General features: G+C 41.7%; 2 protein-coding genes across 11 annotated transcripts in view, besides 3 other annotated features; one reads left to right on the forward strand and one right to left on the reverse strand.

Annotated features, from left to right (window-relative positions):
• SVBP (small vasohibin binding protein) lies at nucleotides 1-10,346 on the reverse strand. Of its 2 annotated transcripts, none has more exons than NM_199342.4 (3): nucleotides 10,139-10,346; nucleotides 9,380-9,529; nucleotides 1-449 (listed from the first exon to the last, which is right to left on the reverse strand). In NM_199342.4, exons 2-3 carry the CDS (start codon nucleotides 9,491-9,493, stop codon nucleotides 363-365), a joined length of 201 nt encoding a protein of 66 aa, NP_955374.1. In that variant the 5' UTR covers nucleotides 9,494-9,529; nucleotides 10,139-10,346; the 3' UTR covers nucleotides 1-362. The 2 variants fall into 2 exon arrangements, with proteins under 2 accessions (NP_955374.1, XP_016856715.1); XM_017001226.2 differs by having other exon boundaries at nucleotides 9,380-9,554.
• Nucleotides 9,220-9,289: a silencer, noted in NCBI's record as "silent region_769". NCBI's record gives its function as "represses an Ori minimal core promoter by ATAC-STARR-seq in GM12878 lymphoblastoid cells {active_cell/tissue: GM12878}" and the evidence as "EXISTENCE:reporter gene assay evidence [ECO:0000049][PMID:35858748]".
• Nucleotides 9,850-10,049: a silencer, noted in NCBI's record as "silent region_770". NCBI's record gives its function as "represses an Ori minimal core promoter by ATAC-STARR-seq in GM12878 lymphoblastoid cells {active_cell/tissue: GM12878}" and the evidence as "EXISTENCE:reporter gene assay evidence [ECO:0000049][PMID:35858748]".
• ERMAP (erythroblast membrane associated protein (Scianna blood group)) overlaps nucleotides 10,071-24,527 on the forward strand; it is a 27,870-nt gene continuing 13,413 nt past the window's right edge. For 3 of the 9 annotated variants that reach the window (XM_047443586.1, XM_047443588.1, XM_047443600.1), the window contains exons 1-2: nucleotides 18,691-23,482; nucleotides 23,717-24,064. In XM_047443586.1, coding sequence (XP_047299542.1) covers nucleotides 23,200-23,482; nucleotides 23,717-24,064 — 631 coding nt within the window. In that variant the 5' untranslated portion in view covers nucleotides 18,691-23,199. The other 6 variants (XM_047443591.1, XM_006710313.5, NM_001017922.2 and 3 more) reach the window with 6 other exon arrangements.
• Nucleotides 10,200-10,489: a silencer, noted in NCBI's record as "silent region_771". NCBI's record gives its function as "represses an Ori minimal core promoter by ATAC-STARR-seq in GM12878 lymphoblastoid cells {active_cell/tissue: GM12878}" and the evidence as "EXISTENCE:reporter gene assay evidence [ECO:0000049][PMID:35858748]".

Below are 24,527 nucleotides of genomic sequence, written 5' to 3' on the forward strand. Positions count from 1 at the left end.
AACATTTTATTAGTATTTTATTTGTATTTTTGGAGAAGATATAGAGTTTCATGAGAAACACTGATTTTTCTCAAACAATAGAAAAAGTGTTTTTTGTGTGTGTTTTTTTTTTTTTTTTAAAAAAACCCAAAAAACAAAACCACTGTCTTAGAAGAAGAAAACAAGTCTCTTCAGCAAGCATGTGGCCAATTCAGATGGGAGGAACCAGTGAAGTTAGAAGTTACACACAGGAAGTGAGTTCAGATTTATCCACAAATGTCTTCTGGTCTAGTTCTGTAAGGCTCCAAATGGGCCATCTCAGCTTAAAACTGGCAACACCCTCTCAAAGCTCTCAGGATCCCATCTGGTTTGAACCTGGGGCCTCATTCTCCAGGAGGCTGCATCTGTTTACAGAACTCATCAAACTGCTGCTGCTCCAGTTCTGTCATGACTCTGTTGAGGGCATAGATCTGAATGAGAGAAAGAGATACATCTGTTAGCAATGGAAGCAGCTGCACAAAGCATCTTCTGACATAACAGGTGGTGCCTTCTGAAAATACCAGAATTTCACCAGTAGTGGTAATGCAGGGACAGTGCTCTGGGAATAGGAAAGTTAGATATTAGTTCCATCTGGAGAATCAAGACAGCAGCAGTGATGCAGGTGGCTTGATTTGGTCTTTAAGGGATTAGTAGGATCCCTTAAGAAGAAAACAAGTCTCTTCAGCAAGCATGTGGCCAATTGAGATTGAGGAACCAGTGAAGTAGAAGTTACATACAGGAAGATCAGATTTATCCACAAATAATCTTCTGGTCTAGTTCTGTAAGGCTGCAAATTGGCCATCTCAGCTTAAAATCTATCATGGGACATGACAGGTGGTGGGGGAGGCTTTATGTGTAAATAAATGTAATGGAAAAGTATAGAGTCTGTTCTGGAAACTTCAAGCATGCCAATATAAAGGATATTATAGAGTAGGGGTTGGGGAGCTGGAGAAAGCAAGAAAATTATGTTGGGGTCTTAAATGTCATGCCAAGGAATCTGGATTTTATCTGGCAGATTCTGGAGAGCCAGCAAAGATAAGTGTGCAGGGGAGCAATGTGAATATAGTGTGTGTGTGTGTGTATATATATATATATATATATATATATATACATACTATGTATAGTATATATAGCTTATATAAGTTATAAGTAGAGTGCATATATGTTATAATATATAAGCTATATATACTATAGCTTATATATACTAATATATATACACTATACTTGCAAACCTCTGACATGACAGATCCTCCGCCTCAGCCTCCCAAAGTGTATACATATATATAATAATGGTATATATACTATATAGTATATATAGGCTATATATAGTATATAAGCTATATATACTGTATACAGTATATATATAAGCTATATACACTATATAGCTTATATATACTAATAGTGTATATATACTATATATAGTATATGGTATACTTGCAACCTCTGACATGACAGATCTTCCCACCTTGGCCTCCCAAAGTATATACTATTAATAGTATATATACTATATAGTATATATGTAGTATATATAGCCTATATATATAACCTATAATATAAGCCTATATATGTATGTATATATAGCTCATATATATAAGCTATATATGTATGTATATATCGCATATATATATGAGCTATATATATATTTCAGACAGAGTCTTGCTGTGTTGTCCAGGCTGGATTGCAGTGGCATGATCTCAGCTCACTGCAACCTCTGCCTCCCAAGTTCAAGCATTTCTCCTGCATCAGCCTCCCAAGTAGCTGAGATTACAGGTGCCCGCCACCAAACCCGGCTAAGTTTTGTATTTTTAGTAGAGACAAGGTTTCACCATGTTGGCCAGACTGGTCTCCAACTCCTGGCCTCATGTGATCCTCCCGCCTCGGCCTCCCAAAGTGCTGGGATTACAGGCGTGAGCCACTGTGCCCAGCCATAAGCAACGTTGATTCTTTCTGTGCTTTAGGAGGCATCTGTTACAACAGTCCAGACAGGAGGTCGTGGGAATATCGTCTACAGCAGGCAGTGGTGATGGAAAGAAGATGGCAAGAGACATCCTCAGGTGAAAGGCAGGGTAACTACACCTTATTCCTCATCATCTTTCTTTATTCTTAATTAATCCACCCACTAAGAACAGAAACAGATCACAAAACTTCCTAATTTGTAGAAGAAAAAAATGAAAGACAGAGTGTGTGTGTGTGTAGAGGAGCTATAACTTGATTAATTGAAAAGACAAGGAAGGGGGAAAAAATGAAACTTAGAAGTGGGACAAATAGAAAATACAAAATAAAGAGCAGAAACGAATGAAAAAGCAACCAAACCTACAATAGAGAGGATCACCAAGACTGCCAGATGGTTCCTTGAAAATACTAAAAAAAACCTTGCAAACCTCTGACATGACAGATCAACATAAAAGGGAGTGGGCACAAATAAACATTATTAGGAACTAGAAAGAAGACTTAACTACTGACATAACAGAAATGAAAATGAAACATTATGAACTCCGTGCCAACACATTTGACAACCTAAATGAAACAAGTTCCTAGGAAAAGTAAAATGATCCAAACTGACTAGAAAGCTTGAATATTCCTGTCATCTTTAAGAAAAATGGAATTCTACACAGTGATGAAAATAGTTACTAACACTACCGCAAATGATTCTTGAAACACAGAATGCGGCTGATGAAACTAGTAAATTTTATGTATATTTTACCATAATAAAAATAAATAAACTTGAATGGTTAAAAAAAGGCTGAGTGAAGACAGCCAGTCACGGTAACATATATAAAAGGTCAGAAACATTCAAAACAATATATTGTTACACAACAAAATATTTAGAGGTACACAGACAGTAAATTAACGTAGAACAGCAAGAATGATTAGCATAAAATACAGCAAAGAGGGTACTGCTGGTGGGAAGGGTGAGGTACATGACCAGGAAAGGAGTACACAAAGCTTCCCAGTTACTGGTCACGTTCTATAGTTGGGTGTTTTATTCTTAAGCCACATACACACATTATATAAATATACTTTTAACACACACACACACACACACATACATACATACACACACACACACACACACACACACACATATATTTTTTTTGTGAGCAGAGTCTTGCTCTGTCACCAGGCTGGAGTGCAGTGACCCGATCTCAGCTCACTGCAACCTCCGCCTCCTGGTTCAAGCAATTCCCTTGCCTCAGCCTCCTGAGTAGCTGGGACTACAGGCGTGCACCACCGTGCCTGGCTAATTTTTTGTATTTTAGTAGAGACGGGATTTCACCATGTTGGCCAGGATGGTCTTGATCTCCTGACCTCGTGATCTGCCCACCTTGGCCTCCCAAAGTGCTGGGATTACAGGTGTGAGCCACTGTGCCCGGGCCCACATATATACATATATATTTGAAAACCTCTGCTTGCTTCATTCACTAAGTATTTACTGAGCATTTTTAATCTGCACATTACTGTACTAGGGACTGAGATGCAAATTAAATAGCTTCTCAGAGACCTCCAGATCAAGGAGGCAAGATGGTAGGAGAAAGAGGAGACTCACAATGGGTCAGGGTGTCCAGGCCAAAGAATGACTCTCAGTCAAGAAGGAAACGGACCCTAGCAGTGTCAAACGGTGCTTCCACTGCCAATGTGCCTTCCGTTCCCATTCACCTCCCACATCTCTCCTTCACATCTAACTTTCTGGAATCTGGCGTCTGCAGAATTGAATAGAAACTGTCTCTTCCTCCCCACAAAGGGTCTTGTTGCATTACATTCCAGGCAATAAAGATTAAAAACAAACAGGATAGGCGCGGCGGCTCACATATGTAATCCCAGCACTTTGGGAGGCCGAGGTGTGCGGATCACTTGAGGTCAGGAGTTCGAGACCAGCCTGACCAACATGGTGAAAGTCCATCTCTACTAAAAATACAAAATTAGCCAGGCATGGTGGCGGGTGCCTGTAATCCCAGCTACTCAGGAGGCTGATACAGGAGAATTGCTTGAACCTGGGAGGTGGAGGTTGCACTGAGTCGAGATCGTGCCACTGCACTCCAGCCTGGGTGACAGAGCGAGACTCCGTCTCAAAACAAAACAAAAACACCAACCAACCAAACAGAAAAAAAAACAGCAAGGCAGCTGTAGGGGGCAAGGCAAAAAACAACAGACAAAAGTCAGAAGATGTTTAGACCACAGGCCTGCCCCTCTTTAACTACAGGACTCTACTCACATCCCTTTGAAGTGAGGATAATACTGCCTACCTCACAAGGCCATATATTTTACATATCGGATTAACCAAGGTTAAATGGGAGTCACAATAACTCCTGCTTTGGAGCCCTGGTGTGAGGACTACATGTGGCTATGCATGTGTAGGCTTGGCTCGGTCCTGGCACATCTCAAGAGCTGCACGGGGCCAGCTGCTGCTTGAGTGCAGCAACGTTGCATTTCAGCAGGTCAACAGGAACTCAGCAGTTGTTCAATTTAGGGTCCACACAATAAGAGCAGGCTGCCTGCTTGGAAACACAAGATTATTCCTGATCATAATCACTGCTAGTTATCAAATGCTTCCTCTGCCAAGTACTGCGCTATGGGCTTTACACGTGGTATTTCTATTCCTTTTAATGGTCTTCTGAGGTAGATGTTATCCTCATTTTACCAAGGAGGAACTGATGAACTGGGGGTTCAGAGAGGTTAAGTATCTTGTCCAACGTCACATGGAAGAACTGGGATTTATGGAGGAGCTGAGATTTGAAGTCAGACAAATAAATTTAACCTATAGAACTTTACAGAAGGGTGTCAATAAGGGCATGAACAATGTCCTCAACATCTATCCTTACAATATGCACAGAGGACAGTTTCATAGGGCTGTTTTTTTTAAAAACGGATTTTAACATAATTACTATGTGTACATAGACAATTAAGAATAGGGAAAAACCCCAAATTAATGTTTTAACAAGTTACAAGCTGTTACTAAAGACAATATCCTTGGATTTAAAAAAAAAAAAAAGAGTACAATAGAGGAAGTCTCTCATTCAACCGAGCAGTTTAACCAATCTCTTTTAATAAATCCAGCACATTACAGTGGTATAAATTTATCTTTTTTAACACTCCACATAAAAACATGTGTCCTCTCTTACATTTAATCATTAGTAGTCTCTAAAATGGTAAAATAAATTGAATTTACATTAGCAAATGAAAGTGCAAATTTGTACAGCTAGGCTCAGCAGCAAAAGTGAAGAATAAGAATGAAAGGTGAAAAGCTGGTGGATGCCATGCAGAGCGAGGACTTCCATAAAGGTCTGTGCCCTGCGGCCAAACACAGTCAACACACCACCATTTTCTTGTTGCTCTTAAATGAGCAAAACCAAATTTCTTTTTTATTTAATGAAATATTAAATCTTTATTTCCCCCTAACATAATTTGTGATCAAGTAGGACAGAGGTAAGTCCCACCATCACTGGGGACAGTAGCAACACACAGACTTCAGAAACAGCCTTGAATCATCAGTAACATCCTCCCCTGGTAACGTTAGAAGGAATGCATCTAATGACAAATTTGCAATGTTGTCACATTGTTCTAATTTATTTGATTAGTTTATCTGGAAAAACTTTACACATTATTGAAGACAACAGTAAATTATTTTCTTGCTCTGAAAAAATAATGTTTTTTCACATTTTAAAACCTTTTAGTATGCTTTTGCAAAAGTAGTTGCAAGAATATGACAGCTGGGTTTGCAGAATGTCCATGTACAAGTTTGTATTTATAAGAAACTGGTAATCTGCCTATAATTTGCCTCTACAAATAGAGCTCTTTAAAATAATATTTTTAAAAAAACAGGCTTAAACTTTTCCCTATTCATTCTACTTGTAGCAAAGAGGTACTTACTTTTCAAGTATTACATGGTAAAAGGCACAAGTTTTTTTTGCCAATTTTAAGCTGTTAAGCTTTAAGACCAAACTATGTGAAAAAAAATCATGCCTAGTCAATCCTAGTCAATCATTTTATAGCCAAATCCTCTTGTCTTTTAAATAACGCAGAAAAATACTAATTTGCTAAGAAGGAGCACACTGGAAAAAGCCATTTGAAAGTACTGAAGAATGAGGAGTATTTTTTTTCTACTGATGAAAATTATTAGGAAAGCTATCCTGTCTGTTGTCTTTAGCTAGTTTAAATAAATCTTTTCAAAATGATGGTCAAGAAATCTTTAGAAAACTGGAAGAGGGGATGCTCTTTTATAGCATGAAAGGAATTCCATTAATTATAGAAATTCTCGTTAAATTTTGACGTTGGTTCTTCAGAAAAAATACGCATTTAACTTCTGCAGTCTGTTGTGTTTGAACACCATCTACCTGAGCCAGGGGCCCAAGCGTTCCTTCATCATCAAAGGCCAAAACTGGATTCAAAGGAACTTCTGGGCTCTTACTGTTAGTGACATCTAATCTGGATGGTTTCGATCCAATGGGTAAATTTATAATTTCTTCAAAATTTTCATTCTGAACAGAGATACTCCATTTTCATTTGGTTTTCCAAATTGGGGGTGCTCTCCACAGTCACTTTTGATTGGTGTGAGGTAACCACATATGGGCTGGCAACTGGTTCTCCATTTCCCAGAGCATTTGTTGTACACGGAAGTATAGATAGCTCTGTTCCTCCAGTGAGAGCTCCCTTGGCTATATCACCATTTCTCTGATCAATGGTTTTCTTATCTGTAGCTTCTGTTCTCCTGCTTCAGGGCTGTTTCTTATAGCAACCCTCATATTGTTCACCAAAGCACAATGCAGTCATATCATCTGAGGACCCGGATCCAGGTGGGAATGGGAAGGTAAAGGACCACAGCTCTCAGGGGGTCTGCCTTAACCCAAAGGTAGATTTCAGTTTACAGATTAACTTCAAATGCACTAGTAAGTTTACTTATTATGTTTACTGCCTCCCCTTGCTGGAATGCAAGATCCATGAAGGCAGGGATTCTTTTCTGCTTTGTCATCATGTGACTCAAATTCCTCGAACAGTGCCTGGCACATACTAGCAGTTCTTTTTCTTTTTTTTTTGTTTTTGAGACAGAGTCTAGCTCTGTCGCCCAGGCTAGAGTGCAGTGGCACAATCTCGGCAACCTCCGTCTCCTGGGTTCAAGCAATTCTCCTGCCTCAGCCTCCCGAGTAGCTGGGACTACAGGGAGCACCACCACGCCCAGCTAATTTTTTTTTTAGTAGAGACAGGGTTTCACCATGTTGGCCAGGATGGTCTCAATCTCTTGATCTCATGATCCGCCTGCCTCGGACTCCCAAAGTGCTGGGATTACAGGTGTGAGCCACTGTGCCTGGCCAATATTTAATGAATGAATCAGGTTAACAAAAATTAAAAGTTGACAATATCGGCCGGGTGCAGTGGCTCACACCTATAATCCCAGCACTTTGGGAGGCCAAGGCAGTGGTGCACGCCTGTAATCCCAGCTACTCTGGAGGCCGAGGCAGGAGAATTGCTTGCACCCGGGAGGCAGAGGTTGCAGTGAGCAGAGATCACGCCACTGCACTCCAGCCTGGGTGACAGAGCAAGACTCCGTCTCAAAAAAAAAAGAGACTCACCATCAGAGAAATGCAAATCAAAACCACAATGAGATACCATCTCACACCAGTTAGAATGGCGATCATTAAAAAGTCAGGAAACAACAGGTGCTGGAGAGGATGTGGAGAAATAGGAACACTTTTACACTGTTGGTGGGACTGTAAACTAGTTCAACCATTATGGAAGACAATGTGGTGATTCCTCAAGGATCTAGAACTAGAAATACCATTTGACCCAGCCATCCCATTACTGGGTATATACCCAAAGGATTATAAACCATGCTGCTATAAAGACACATGCACACGTATGTTTATTATGGCACTATTCACAATAGCAAAGACTTGGAACCAACCCAAGTGTCCATCAATGATAGACTGGATTAAGAAAATGTGGCACATATACACCATGGAATACTATGCAGCCATAAAAAGGGATGAGTTCATGTCCTTTGTAGGGACATGGATGAAGCTGGAAACCATCATTCTCAGCAAACTATCGTAAGAACAAAAAACCAAACACCGCATGTTCTCACTCATAGGTGGGAACTGAACAATGAGAACACTTGGACACAGGAAGGGGAACATCACACACCAGGGCCTGTTGTGGGGTGGGGGGAGGGGGGAGGGAAAGCATTAGGAGATATACCTAATGTAAATGACGAGTTAATGGGTGCAGCACACCAACATGGCACATGTATACATATGTAACAAACCTGCATGTTGTGCACAGGTACCCTAGAACTTAAAGTATAATAATAAAAAATAAAAAATAAAAAGAGACTCCATCTCAAAAAAAAAAAGCAATGTGGCAATGTCTAGTAAAATTGAGAATGTACCCAGTAATTTTTCTAGTTAAATAACCTACAGAAATTCTAAGGCAGGTGCCAAAGGAGACACCTAAAAGCTTTTCACTACAGCAATGTTTGTAATAGCAAAAAATACTATAAATAATTTAAATGTGCATCTCTGTAAGAATGAATAAATATACTAAGTAAAATGGATGCATAAAATAGACTATTATAAAAATTAATGAGAATAAACTAAATTCTTATATTGGCATGAATAGTTCTAAAAAACAATGTAAGCAAAATGCAAAATAAAATGCAGGAATTTTATTAATGTAAAAATTTAAAATACTACTGTATATTGTTCAAGGATATCTATTAATATATTTGAATGTAAAAGTATAAAAAAAAGTAGTTGTCCATGGAGAAGTAAAAGGATGTAAGACAGGAAATGAACAAAGCAGACAGATAAACAAAACAAAGAGGGAAAAAGAGACCAGCAAGATTTTCCCTGACATTAAATACTAAAATAAAATACTTATGTCTGTATGTGGCTCAATATTGGCAGGGTAAAGTTTAAAGCTTTTTATTCTCAAGTTGATTGTAATCGTTGAGAGAACAAAGGAACACACTGGTGAGTTTAAAGCTTGGGCCTCTACCTGGCATGAGTAGCTGCTTTCCGCACCAAATCCAGAACATCTGTACTGGGGGTGTCTGACACTTGCGTGCTCTCTCTCATTCTGACCCCTTCTTTCCCCTTACATATCATTTTTTTTCCTTTCTTCCTTCCCTTGGGTCTCTTACCACAAAAGCTCCGCACCAGACTGGGGTTCTGACACTAACTTGGCATGTGATTCTGGGCTGCCACCTCACCATTCTGAACCTCAGTGTTGTCCCCTCTAAACCTGGGAGAACACCCATCCTGCCTGGAGGCAAGTATGGCTCGCTGTCAGTTCTCCTTTCTGCTGTTTCTCTATTCCAGCATCATCTCCAGCAGACTACAGGCATACAGAGCCTCCGCCTTAATCTCACCTCTGCTCTTTGTCTCTGCTTCAGCTCCTGCTGGGCTGATTTCTGTTTGGCCTTCTCAACTCTGCTGACAGATTCTTTAACTTTGGTTTTTTCTTTACGTGCAGGTGGATCCATGGCTTGACTTCTGGATATTTCTTAGGAGGCTCTGATCTGGGTGGTACAGAAAGAGGCAGATCTTCAAAACAAAACAAAACAAAAAATACCCTGCCAGTTACTCCTCTAATCCTTTAGCTCCGCCCCATCCTTTGCCAGGTGAGGCAGAGTGGTCTGGTGGCAAGGGCGCTGGATGTGGGGGAGTAGGAACCGAGTCCCAAGGCCACAACCTCGCTGGGTGTCCCTGGGCAAGTCTCCTCCCCACTTTGAGCCTTAGTTTTCTGTCTGCAAAATGGGTTAAGTGTTTTCCTGGCCTCCCTCCAGGAGCTGCTGTGTGCGGGTGAAATGCAAAGACCCCTGTGAAAGCGTTGCCCACTGTGCGGCGTGCGGCACCCAGCGCGGAACCGTCCTAATGGGACGCTGAGACCCAGAGGGCGCCCAGGGTTTTCCCACTGCGGCCGGCCTAACTCCGCCGCAGCAGCCGCTCCTGGGGCCAGGGGGCCGGGCCCCATAGCCAGCCGGGCCCGCCCCCCACCGCCCGGCCCCCCGACCCCGCCCCGGCCCGCCCGGCCCCAGGGGACGGCCCCCGCCTCCTGCCCTCTTCCCTCTCCTGGAGGAAAATGGCGGTCGCTGGAGCCGCCGACCAAGAGGCTTGGGAGTCTGTACCTTTCCCGACCGGGCCACTGGAAGTTGGAGCCTCCGCCGAGTCGCAGACAACGCCTCCGGGAGGGTAATCCTCGCCTTCCCCCGACCACTGGACCCAGCGCTGCCTGCCCACCGCCCCTCGTCCTGGGCGGGGCCGCGCGCCGGGGGGAGGGGCGCAGGGCCGAGCGCCAGGAGGCTTCCGCCCGCAGGAGCGGCCGCGCGTGCGCAGAGAGGATGGCTGGAAACCCGCGTAGAGGGCGGGGCGGGGCAAGCCGGTGCCGGGGCGGGGCAGGGGCGGAGCCACACCGGGGTGGGTGGTGGTTACGGCTAACCAAAGCTTTTTCCCGTTATATTTTCTGCAACAGCTACTAGGTTTTAGAGGGTGAGATCCGAATCCTGGAATTGGAATTGCTCAGAATTCGAATTCCGAGGCTCAATTTCTTAATTCGAAAAGTGGGGATTGATGATTGCCACCTTCTTCATTCATGAGTTTATTGGGAGGATCAAGTGAGATCCCGTTTGCCACAGTGCTTTGAAAAAGGAAATCTTGACAGAAGTACCAATAGCCAGTATAAATACAGAGAACATTCACGTTCAACTGATTACCGAGGAGATGTAAATTAAAATAGCTGGCTGTAATTTTCCAGGTATTACATTAGCAAGGATTGACAAAAATGATAATAGCTACCTTACATTTGGGCTTACTATATTCCAGGCACTGTTCTTACAGCTTCACATTTATTAACTAATTCCTCATAATAAGTGTGTATAATGTATACGTGTATATTATTATCCCCATTTACACATAAGGGAACAGAAGCATTGAAAAGTTAAGTGAGTTGTCCCGGGTCACACAGCTTCTAAGTGCTGGAGCAAATATTTCAGCCAGGATTCATAGGACAATGGCCTTATCCAAAGTAAAACCCTGTTTGGGTCCACTATTTGTTCCTCTATCAAACTGGCAAGAATTGAAACAACTGATAGATGCTAAGCAAGCAATGAACTCAGCCCAGATGGACACACGCTTCCAGTCAAACTGTAAATCGTTAACAGCCTTTCTGGAGGTCAGTTTAGTACTAGGTATCAAAAGCCTTAAAAGTGAGCACAATGCCCCAAAAAGACAAATACTGCATGTTTCCATTCATATGAAGTATCTAAAGCAATCAAAGTCTAAGAAACAGAAAGTAGAATGGTGACTGCCAGTGGCTAGGAGAGAGGGAAAAGAGGAATTGTTTAAAGGGTATAGAATTTTAGGTTTGTAAGGTGAAAAAGTTCTAGAGATCTACTGCACAATGTTTATTTTTTATTTATTTAATTTTTAAAAAATAGATGGGGTCTTGCTCTGTCACCCAGGCTGGAGTGCAGTGGTGTGATCATAACTCACTGTAACCTGGGCTCAAGCAATCCTCCCACCTCAGCCTCCAAAGTATCTGGGACTACAGGCACACACCATCATGCCTGGCTAATTTTTTAAAATTTTTTTGTAGAGATGGAGTCTCACTGTGTTTCCCAGGGTGATCTGGAAATCCTGGGCTCAAGTGATCCTCCTGCCTCAGTCTCCCAGAGTGCTGGGATTACAGATGTGAGCAATTGCGCCCAGCTTTTCCAAAATTTCTACAGTAAACGTTTATACTTTAGCAATCAGAGGAAAGTACATTAAATGTCTTTTTAAAAACCCTATACAAATGCTGATTCGATTATTATTAATAAAAGTAACCAAGTCAGAGTCTATTTCAGAAATCTTGATGTAGTACTGGTATTTTACATTTGTGTCACATGGTATGGTTTATAACGTTCATATAAGCTATGAACTAGATTACAGCTGAAGACACGGCAGGACCTTTAGAAGCCAGCTAAAAACAAACCAGCTATAGGGAATGGAGGAGTGGAAAAGCCACATGGAAGACTGGAAAAGTAGTGGTGCCACTGAGCCACTGTTGAAAGTGGAGAAGGTGTGATGAGTTGGTTTGGGAAACGGTGAGGAAGAGGATAAGTTAGGAGCGTGTGTGTGTGTGTGTGTGTGTGTGTGTGTGTGTGTGCGCGCGCGCAAGAGAGGGACCGAGAGAGAGAAAGAGCTAGATTACGCTTCAAGTGGCAATAGGCAAGAAGAATTGTCCAGTGAGCAATTAGAAGATTTCAGAAAAGAACGGAACTGGAGATACCAGTTTGGGATTCTACATTCTTTATTGGGAAGGTGAAGGTTGGAGCCAGGAGGGAGTGAATGTTGAGGCTGAACACTGTCAAAGTCCCCTCTCTATTCTTTCCATGAGTTTATGCTTTGTCTGTCTCTTTTGTGTCTACCAGTGGACTCTTGGCCAGGCTGCAGAATTTCCTGGTTTGTTGAATGACTAGCAAGAGTTTATAGTAATATAACTAGAATATTTTTACAGTTGAGGTATATACTACACTAAGATTATATTCACTTTATTGAATAATATTTTTTCTAGAGTCAAAAAATTATCTATTTTTATTTGCTTAATGATCTATGCATCCCTTGTTTATTTTTTATTTTCAGAGGTGGGCTCAAGTGATCCTCCCGCTTCAGCCCCTCAGTGGCTGGTACTACAGATGTGAACCAGGTCATTTACCAGTGTCTTTTTTTTTTTTCTTGGCAGCATCCCTCCTTAGACTCATCCTCTCTTTGCTCCAAACTCCTCTGCTTAGCCTTGCTTCACAGCTCTTGTCCTAGGATTAGGGACCTAACCACATTCTGGGGATTCTCTTCTTGTTTCTCCTGTGCCAAATCCCCTGCTCTCTGGATCTTATGTTTTTCCATTCTTGGTTTATTCTCTCATTTTGGAGGAGTATGTTCTCCACTAACTCCCCAGAAGGGGTTCATGGAAGCTAAATTTTTGAGTCCTTGCTTGTCTAAAAATGGCTTTATTTTCTTTCATCCTTGAGTGACAGATTTCCACATTGGAAATTATTTTCCCTCAGAAGTTTAACGGCATTGATTCATTGTCATCTAGCTTCTCATGTGGCTACTCTTGAGGAGACTGATTTATTCTGACTTGTGTTACTTCCCATATATTTTGTTTGTTAATTTGTTAATTTGTTTAGGATATTTTTCTCCTTTATCCTTGATGTTCTGAACGTTCATAACAAACTGTCCTTTAAGTATTTTTCATTCATTATGCTAAGCACTCGGTGGCCCCTTTCAATTGGGAAACAAAGTCTTCAATTCTGGGAAACGTTCTCTGTGATCAGTTTCTCTTTTTTTTTTTTTTTTTTTAACAAATAGAGACAGGGTCTCCCTATGTTGGCCAGGCTAGTCTTGAACTCCTGGCTTCAAGTGATCCTCCTGCCTCAGCCTCCCAAAGTACTCAGATTACAGGCATGAGCTGCTGCACCCAGCCAGTTTCCCTGTTTTTAAATTTTTCTTCATGTTCCATTTCCTGGTTTTGTTTATTCTAATTTACAAGAGATTTTCCTGAGCTGTATCCCCTGGTTCTTCTATTGAATTTTTTCATTTCTGCTACAAAAATGTTAATTTCCAAGAGTTTTTGTTTGATCCCCGACTTTCCTTTTTGGTAGCCTCTTGCTCTTATGTTGTGGATTCAGGATCTTCTCTTATTTCATATTTCTGAGGATTCCAGTTGTAATTTTCTGCTGTTTTCTTCTGCTTCCTAGATTGTCTCTGTTGTTTATTTTGGTCTCTGGCTTTCAAGTTGGAGCTTATCCTCAGACAATAACAGCTACCATTGAGTATCAGCCCCTATTTTAAGTATTTTGCATGTTTTAGCTAATTTAATCCTTACAACAACCCCGGGAGGTAGAGCCAGGCCCTGGTCCCTCCCATCCCAAGCCTGGAAGGTTCTCAGTTGAGAATCAGCTTTCTTCTTGCTGATGTCAAGGGTTGATGTCAGGAACCCTTTATCTGATGTTTCCCCCAATCCTGCCTCCCTCTGCAGGCACCTGGGTTAGAGTTCAGTTTTTCCTAGCTCTATTACTAGTGAGCCCTCTGCTTTCCTTCATTAAAGAAATGTATTGACATCTCTATTGCACAGTTACTTACTGTCCTGTTCTCTTTGTCCTTATAGGCTTTTCCTTTTGCACTCCAAGATTGTCATTTTAGATCATTTTGGGAGGTAACAGAGATAAGCATTTGTGTTCAATGAGACATGTTTATTTAACTGGAAATCTAGAGCTCCCTCTTTTTAAGTCAGGAAGCATATAGACCAAAAAAATTACAGTGATTATTACTGGATTCTGAGATTACGATTATGAGTGATATCTTTATCTATGTCTGTATCTGTTTTTCTCACTCATAGAGTTAGAAGTCTAAAAAGAACATTTCAGATAAGAAACTCATTTTATGATGTGATTTAGACTATCTGATAAAATGCTTCTGGAGAAAGCAGTAAAAATATTAATTATGACAAGTTATAAATTGGTACAATTACTTTGGAAAACAATTTAGTATCATCTATAACCTGGCAATACTACTTCTAGGTATATATTCTGAGAAACGCTTTACATTTAAAAATTATTGAGGACCTCAGGGAGCTTCAGTTTATATGAGTTATATTTTTTGAAATTTTCCATATTAAAAATTAAAACTGACTGGGTGTGGTGGTTCATGCCTGTAATCCAGCATTTTGGGAGGCCAAGGTGCGAGGATCACTTTAGGCCAGGAGTTTGAGACCAGCCTGGGCAACGTAGTAAGACCCCATCTCTACAAAAAAATTTTTAAAAATAGCTGGGCTTGGTGGCATGCACCTGTAGTCCTAGCTACTAGGGAGACTGAGGCAAGAGGATCACTTGAGCCTAGGAGTTCAAGGCTGCAGTGAGCTATGATTGTGCCTTTGCACTCCAGCCTGGGCAACAGAGCTAGACCCTAGCTCTAAAAAAAAAAAAAAAGAAAACTAAGAAAAATTAAATATAATTACTACTTTTAAAAATAAAAATAATAAATTATATAACAACAAAACATATATTTATGAAAAGCAACTTTTTTGAAACAAAAATATTACTGAGTAGCACTGCTTTATATTTATATAAATCCTTTTTAAAAAATTAATTTTTTTTTTTTTAAGATGGAGTCTCACTCTCTCGCCCAGGCTGGAGTGTGGTGGTGTGATCTCAGCTCACTGCAACCTCCACCTCCCAGCTTCAAGCAATTCTTGTGCCTCAGCCTCCTGAGTAGCTGGGATTATAAGCGTGTGCCACCACGCCTGGGTAATTTTTGTATTTTTAGTAGAGACAGGATTTCGCAATGTTGGCCAGGATGGTCTTGAACTCCTGAACTCAGGTGACCCGCCTGGCTCAGCCTCCCAAAGTGCTGGGATTACAGGCGTGAGCCACTGCACCCAGCCCTAATTAATTTTTAATTGACACATATGGTACATATTTATGGGGTACAGAGTAATATTTTGATACATACAATGTGTAGTGATCAGATCAGGGTAATTGGCATATTCATCTCAAACATTTATCATTTCTGTGTTTTGGGGACATTCAGTATCCTTTCTTCTTTATTTGAAACTACATAATATATTATTGTTAACTATGGTCATCCTACAGTGCTATAAAACAGTAGAAGTTGTTCCTCCTACCTAGCTGTAATTTTGTGTTATTGAACAAATCTCTCCCTATCCTCCCCTTCCCTCTCCAGCCTCTAGTAACCTCTGTTCTGCTTTTCACTTCTATGAGATTAACTTTTTCTTTTTTTTTAACATCTAACTATGAGTGAGAACATGTGGTGTTTAACTTTCTGTGCCTGACTTATTTCATATAACGTAATGTTTTCTAGTTCCATCCATGTCACTTTGAATGATGGGATTTTATTCTTTTTAATGGCTATAAATATTTTAGATGTCTGGCTTAATAGAAGACAGCTGTATTCTCAAGCCAGCTATATCTTTCAATCTGCTGCAGTATGTTTTGTGGTTGAAGTGTATGCAATTGGAAAAGGAGCATTTCAGTAGCTTTTTCAGATAATCGTGGATATTCTTTGATAAGACACCAAAACTCAGCAAGTGGTAGTTTTTTAAAGCTTAGTTGTGACATGAAATCTGAAACCATAGCAATGACCTTTTTATACTCTATTACAGCAACACTCACAGTTTTTTCTTGCATTTTAAATGAATGTTTTACCCATGCAGGGTTTTGTCAACACACCCATTGGTCATTTGGAAATTGCTGAGTCACTGAGTTTTACAGATCTTCTAAATGTTGACACATTTCATTATACAACATCAAAAAATCACATTTATTAATATCAATGCCAATCTCATCAGAAAAGTCTTTTGCTATTGTGAGGGTATCAAGCAGCAGATAAAAATTTTCCAAAATTCTAATTTTTGCTCAAAAGATTGAATGTTCTCATTGACAACAAACACTGTCAGTTGCTTTTCCTGAAGTGACAGGTGCACTTTATTCATTTTGGAGAAAATGCCTGCCAAATACCCAAGTCTGAATAATTATACTTTGTCTTTCAGCTGTACTTTCAGGTAAGAATGGTGCTCCATGAGTCAAGCGATTACTTCAGCTCACAACTCAATCACTTAAGGTTTTTTCCTCGATAAAGTCATCATACTTTGATATGCAGCGTAACTGTTTATGCATCCTTCCCATTTTGTCACACAAACTATTAAAAAGATGTGTATCTAAGAGTTGAAATTTAATAAAATTTGTAACTTCTACTACAGTTTGGTGCCACTTCCTGATTTGTGCTAGCTGTTTTACCCACTATTGCTTTTGCAGTGTCCTTGAAAATGTCAATACCGTGAAAAAGGCAAATAACGTCTTTATTATGATGAATGTAGTTTTAACCTGGATGATAGGGCCTCAGGGACTTCAAGTGTTTGTGGACCACACATTAAGAACTGGTGCTCTAGAGAAATTCTTGCACATGTGAGCAGGAAATACCTATCAAGAATGTTCAGGGCACGAGGCCGGGCGCGGTGGCTCACGCCTGTAATCCCAGCACTTTGGGAGGCCGAGGCGGGCGGATCACAAGGTCAGGAGATCAAGACCATCCTGGCTAACACGGTGAAACCCCGTCTCTACTAAAAATACAAAAAAAAAAATAGCTGGGCGTGGTGGCGGGCGTCTGTAGTCCCAGCTACTCCGGAGGCTGAGGCAGGAGAATGGCATGAGCCCAGGAGGCGGAGCTTGCAGTGAGCCGAGATCGTACCACTGCACTCCAGCCTGGGCGACGGAGCGAGACTCTGTCTCAAAAAAAAAAAAAGAATGTTCAGGACAGTATTATTTATAAAAGCTAAAGCCCAGAAACAACCCACATTTCTATCATTAAGGGACGAGAGAAACTGTTGGTAGATTTATATAATGGTCTACTATATAGCAGTGAATGAATATCCTAGTGCTCTGTGAAACAACCTGGATTAATTTCAGTGTCTTAATTTGTACACCCCCAGAACAGAGTGTGAGGTGTGAGACAAGTACTTCAGTTCAAGAGTGTATTTAGGAGGTAATCCCAGGAAGCAGAAATGGGAATGAGCAAAAAAGGAAGAAAAGTCAATAAAAGGTGCAGTACGGAGCTACTTACCACTATGAACCACCGTGCTCACTCCCATTGGGAACACTCAGAGGAATCATGTCGAATACAGCTCAGAGCTGAAGGTGCAAGCCTGGAGCATTTTGTCTTGACTCCTCTCACTGTTGTTTATGTCTCCGAGGTGTTAGCTTTGGTGAACTTCTGGGCTGCACAGCCTTCCAAGGCTTTGTAGAAAGCCCCAAGACAGGCAAGCAGAAAAATGCCATGGCCTATGAGGTGACATGCTAGCAGCTTGCCTGCAAGTCTCAGCTACACCAAAATTGGGTGGGCTGAGGGGACATGGTGTGGGCCACCACAGATGTCTGCTAGACTCAGAAGCTAATGTTGAATAAAAAAAGGGAATAATTGGGAATTATGTACAATGGGCTCCATCTTTATAAAGTTCAAAGGACATAAAAATGTGTAATGTATTGTTAATGATATAATTATGGAGATTATGAACATACAGCTAAGGATATTATGAAAGCAAGACAGGCGGGAAGCGTTTATCACATGTTGGAAAACAGCAAGCTTGCTTATCAGAAGGCACATGTCAGGGTGTAGCTGGAGATAAAGATAGTGAGTTAAAGAAGGTGGTTAATTGGTGGATGTCTTTGAAACCAATCTTCCAATTTACTCTGATTTGAAAAGTAAAGGGGGAAGGTTTTCAGAAAGAATGTGATAGGATCAAAACGCATCAGAGGGAATTACTATTGGCAGCATTGGAGGAAAAGGGAGTGGAGGGGCAAACGTGCCTCCTACCCGGTCAGTCATACTCAGTGGTTCCCTCATTTTTGGGAGCCTCCTCTTTGCTCTGTTCTTTTATCAGGGGCATACAGACAGGGTGTGGCTTGCTGGTTTACAGGGACAGCGAGAAGGGAGTTCTGTGGGGGCAGAGAGAGCCCTGGCCTCTCATATTTCATAAAATATGAACTTTTCCCGGCCCACATCCCTAGGCCTTCCTGATGCGCTTGCCTGCTCCCTGGTCTCTCTGCATGGGGAAGGAGTGTTCCCAGCTTGCAAACTCCAGCTTTGCCTGTGAGAGGAACAAGCGTCCCTGATCCAGAAGGTGGTGAGTCCTCCTCTCTCTCTTCATGCTTTTTAGTCCTTTAACTTTCTCAGGATCCTCAGGTTTAGTAGAGAAATAATCCCCTTTCTCCTTACGCACAAGAACATTTTCAAGGGTGAAATGGGGCAGTTGTTAGCTATCACTAAAGAAACACAAAAGGAGACAAGTGACAAGATTGCTGGATGGGTTTTGTTGAAGTACTCTTATTTAAGTAGTATTGTCATCATTATTAAATTAAAGCCAACATTTATTTAGCTCTTACTATTTGCTGGACGCTGTGCTGTGTGCTTTTAGACTGATCAATTGCAGATTTGCAGGGTCATATTAAACTGCTTGGGACTGTCAAGAGAACATCTGTTACAATCTTTTTTCTGATTTAGAAGTTTTAAAAATTAAACTGTTTCAAACTTAAAATGTAAATAACTGCCATGTTTCCAACATGTGTAGTGGAAAAAAATGGTTAGTATATGCAGAATTTTGCAAACCATTAAGAAATAAATGTCCCAATAGATAAACGAGCAAATTACATAGACAGGTAATTGACAAAGTCCAAATAACCAGTGAGTAATCAAAGAAATACAAATTGAAATGAATCACCATCAAACAAAAAAAAAGGGATGGCATTTTGTTACTCATGAAATTGGCAAATTTTTTTTTAAATGATAATATCCAGTGATGGTAAGGTTGTGGGAAAACAAGAAATTTCATAGGATACTTTGGTAAGTTGATATGACTTTCTGGAGGGCAATTTGTCAGTGCAGATGAAAAGTCTTCCCATTTTAAAGATGGGAAACTTAAGGCCTAAGAATCTAAGTGACTTGCTTAAAGTTACAAAGTCATGGCTGGGCGCAGTGGCTCACACCTGTAATCCCAACACTTTGGGGGGCCGAGGAGGGCAGATCATGAGGTCAGGAGTTCGAGACCATCCTGGCCAACATGGTGAAACTCCGTCTCTACTAAAAATACAAAAATTAGCTGGGCATGGTGGTGTGCGCCTGTAGTCCCAGGTACTCAGGAGGCTGAGGCAGGAGAATTGCTTGAACCTGGGAGGCAGAGGTTGCAGTGATCTGAGATCATGCCACTGCACTCCAGCTTGGCGGCAGAGTGAAACTCTGTCTCAAAAAAAAAAAAAAAAGTTACAAAATCACAGAGCAGTAAGGGACCAAGCCAAGACTAGGACTAAGCCATCTGATTCTAGCCCTCAATCCACTGTCACTTATAGCAATGTTTATAATAGCGATGTATTGGAAAACAACCTAAATGTCCTCAATATAGAATTATTTTAAAGCTTTTACATCTTATATCCTAACTTCTAAAATTCTATGTCCATGATGGAATCCTAAAGTCATGTAAAGAAGATTTGATTGCCTTGGGAAATGCACATAATGTAGCACTTGGTGAAAATATCAGGTATCAAAACAGTATATAAAGTATTTATTTACTTATTTATTTAAGACAGGGTCTTGCTCTGTCATCCAGACTGGAGTGCAGGGGCGTGATCATGGCTCACTGCAGCCTTAACCTCCTGGGCTCAGGTAATCCTCCTACCTCAGCCTCCCAAGTAGCTGGGACCACAGGCACATACCACCACAGCCAGTTGATTTATTTTTATATTTTTTTGTAGCAACAGGGATTTGCCATGTTGCCCAGGCTGGTCTCAAACTCCTGGGCTCAAGCAATCTTCCCACCTCTACCTCAAAGTGCTGGGATTACAGGCGTGAGCCACTGTGCCCAGTCATGGTTTTTGTTTGTTTGTTTTACAAAAAGTTATGTACATGCATAGAAAGAATATTTATAGAAACATTATCTTTGGGTGGAGGAATTACAGATGATTTGACATTTTTGTCCTTGTTTTGGATCATTTCCAGATTTTCCTACAATAAGTAAGACAGAAAAAGCCCCAAACTGTGGCATATACATTGAACTTTAGGAAGTGAAATCATATTTTATATTTGTTGGGGAAAATTTCTTTGTAAAGGAGTTCCATGATAATCACTCAGTAAAGTGTGGTGGTCATTTGCTCATTTTATAACTCATGATACAGGGCTATATAGGCATGCATTCATTCATCTGTTTATCCATGTTTTACATTCTATCTGCTTCCAGAAAGGATCCCGGCAATTCACTTGCATGGTACCCTGAAGTGTGTATGATTGCCTTTCCTGTTCTAAGTGTAAAAGAGAATAATACCTACTTTTCAGAGATGTTGTCAGTACTGAAGACAATATATATGGAGAAACAACAAATGCAATAAATAAGAACTATTATTGATTTAGAGCAATATCATAATTAGAAACATATTTATGATTTAGTGTTACTTCACAGCCATTAATAGGATGTTGACTACTATAATATTGATATGTTACATGTTAGAAGAGATGGAGGAAGGGGCCATCCTGGCAAACTAGATTAGAAGAATAAATCCTGGAGGTCAGTATGGTGACCAGATGGTTCTTACATCTGTGTAAGAAAATATGAAAAAAAGGACCTGGTAGCACTTCTTACATGGAGTGACAATCTAACAGAAGGACTTCATTTGCTTTTTATTTCCAGCATCTGGTGCAAATCATTTTACATGTATTTTCTTTGATCCTTACTATAACCCTATCTATGAGGTAGGTACTATTATTAACTTCATTTCATGTGTGAGCAAGAGGAGGTTTGGAGAAGTAAACTAACCTGTCTAAGGCCACCAGTTAGGAAATGGCAGAGCCAGGACTTGAACCCAGGCTGACTCTAGAGCTCATTCTTTTTTTAAAAAAATTTTTTTTTTTTTTTGAGACAAGGTCTTGCTTTGTTACCCAGGTTGGAGTGCAGTGGTGCAATCACAGTTCACTGCAGCCTCAACCTCCCAGGCTCAAGAAATCCTCCCACCTCAACCTCCTGAGTAGCTAGGACTACAGGTGCGTGCCACCATGCCAAGCTAATTTTCTTTTATTTTTTGTAGAGATGGAGTCTCACTATGTTGCCCAGGCTAGTCTCTAACTCCTGAGCTCAAGTGATCCTCCTGCCTTGGCCTCCCGAAAGTGCAGGGTTATAGGCATGAGCTACCATGCCCAGCCTAGAGCTCACCCTCTTAACCACTTCATAGATTGTCTGAATCTTGGAATATGGGTCCATAGAGGTCTCCTTCTATTTGATTTCAGGCAGCCTTGGGTTAGCTTGGAGCTCTGGGTCACTCTGAGCATGTCTACCCAGGGTGTGCTTCAGAGTCACTAGAAAGTTGAGGGGTTTTGGGATTAGGGATAACGCCAGGGAATCCTGGGCCCTACTTCCACCTTCAACCATAATTGATAAAATAGAGAGCTTTTCTCATTTACTTAACTTCTCTTGTCCAGTTTTTGAGTAGCTAGTAACCTATAGGAAAGTGGGTGGGACAGTCACAAAAAAATGTGTCCTAATGTGATCCTAACCTCACTATGACCTAGTGCTATGTTGTCATTTGCTTAGAGGGGTATGTTGTATAAAATATGATTTAAAGAAAAACAAGAACAACCCTAAACCAGTGTGCTTTTTGCCATGAGAAAACAGAATTGGGTGTTTAAAATGAGAATGTGTTCAACGCTAGCTTCATCTTCAGTTTCCCAGTCTCCCTTTGACACCCCCTCCGTGTGTCATGACCTTTTCCATGACCTTCAGGGACTGGGCCTTCTGACTTATACAAAAGCCTCCTCTTTGGAAAGGATTTGAACCTTGGAGAGAATTTAAGAGATGAGTTGCCTTTTCCTAGAGCATTTACATTTTAAACTTTATGCTCACTTGTGGCATGAGAGATTCTGTTTCCTGCTAAAGCAATTTCAGGCAGTAGCAAATAGGTGGGGAAAGAGCTTTACAGGAGGAAATCCTTTAGGGTCTCCCTGTGATTCATGCACACGGTCATCTGGACCTGCTAGGGATAATTTTCCTCACTTGGTTAGTAATAATAACAACAACTACACACTTATGAGCAGTTGTTCTGCCAGGCATTTGTGGCCAGTGCTTGGCAGGCAGTATCTTTTTGAACCCTCACACTCATCTGTGAGGACAGTTTCCCTTCATAGATTAAGAACCCGAGGTCCAGAGATGTTATGCAACCTTCCTAGGGACACAGAGCTAGTAATAGGTAGAGCTAAGATTTGAACCCAGGTCTTTCCAGCGCCAGACCCTGAATTTGTAGGATTAGTGCCTTCAGGATGACATGGAGGGACCTCACTGCCTTGATCTGTTATTTATCAAGAGTCAAACTGGAAAAGGCTGTCAGGGAAACCTCCAGGCTGCATCTTGGGCAAAGATTGGCTTGAAACAGGCATTTCCCAAGCCTGGCCTTGGACACCAACTGTAAAAAAAAGGCCATTACTGGTGTTTCCTTGGTTAGTTCTGGGTATAAGTTCTGGATCCTCACTCATCTCATCTGCACTGACATCCTCACTCACGGCATTTAGAGACTTAACACGCCAGCCTCTGTGTGAGCATTTACCTCTTTCAACCCTCACCATAATCCCACAAGGAGGCACAGTTCTTTTACCCATTTTGAAGATGAAGAAACACAGTCTCAGAGAAGTTCGGTCACAGTATCACAAGGAGGTAAGTAGCAGAGCTGGGATTGGAGCCCCGGCCTTTGTGATCCCAGAGCACCAGCAATACCGTCTCGGCCTCGGCTCCTGGGTTATACCCTCTGTCACGCCAAGCCCATCAGCCCGCTTGTGCTGTCTCCCTCTGTCTGTCCTAGTTCGGATGGAGATGGCGAGTTCTGCTGGCTCCTGGCTCTCTGGCTGCCTCATCCCTCTCGTCTTCCTCCGGCTGTCTGTGCATGTGTCAGGTAGGAGTTTCTGATCCTCTTTCCCTGCCTGGTACATGTGATATTGGCGTCCCCAGAATAAGGAAGCTTGGCTGGAAACATTATGTCTTTTGGGGTTCTGTTCCCCCGGCCCTGGCAATCCTTTCCAGAGTCCTTCCTGGGCTCTGTCCGTCCCCGGGATATCCTCTTCCTCATCCCTTCCCAAGCTTTCTCCTGCCGTCCCTCCCAGTTGGCCTTGTCTCTTTTTTTGTCCAGGCCACGCAGGGGATGCCGGCAAGTTCCACGTGGCCCTACTAGGGGGCACAGCCGAGCTGCTCTGCCCTCTCTCCCTCTGGCCCGGGACGGTACCCAAGGAGGTGAGGTGGCTGCGGTCCCCATTCCCGCAGCGCTCCCAGGCTGTTCACATATTCCGGGATGGGAAGGACCAGGATGAAGATCTGATGCCGGAATATAAGGGGAGGACGGTGCTAGTGAGAGATGCCCAAGAGGGAAGTGTCACTCTGCAGATCCTTGACGTGCGCCTTGAGGACCAAGGGTCTTACCGATGTCTGATCCAAGTTGGAAATCTGAGTAAAGAGGACACCGTGATCCTGCAGGTTGCAGGTTAGAATGGGTTTGAGGTGCCCAGGGTCATTTGTGGCAATTGGACAAGCTTAATCAGGACCTACTTTGTCTCTCCATGTCTAGACTTTTCTTTCATCTGCAGTGTAGTTTTTACTTGCCAGGATGGCTCAGCCTTACCCAGCCATGTCCATTGATCTCAGCTGAGGCTGTGAAGCTGGCCTAGGCATTTCTGATAAGGAAGGAACTCAGACTTTGGAAAACACTGTACAATGCAGGTCCTGGTTAAATAGGGCTTGGAGGCTCAGATAATAGCTTTTCCTCCCTGGGTCATCTTTCTATGCTCCATTATCAAGGAACTCATTACATGGCTGTAAAGAAATGTCTTCAAGGGACAGATCCCCTGCTGTGACAGGATTTACTTAATGGGTCCTCTCCTGGGGTTCCTGAGAAAGTAAAGGGTTAGGAAGGGAGAGATAGTGTTTTTTTTTTTTTTTTTCTCTTT

Source organism: Homo sapiens, chromosome 1, assembly GCF_000001405.40.
Source record: "Homo sapiens chromosome 1, GRCh38.p14 Primary Assembly".
NCBI lineage: Eukaryota > Metazoa > Chordata > Mammalia > Primates > Hominidae > Homo > Homo sapiens.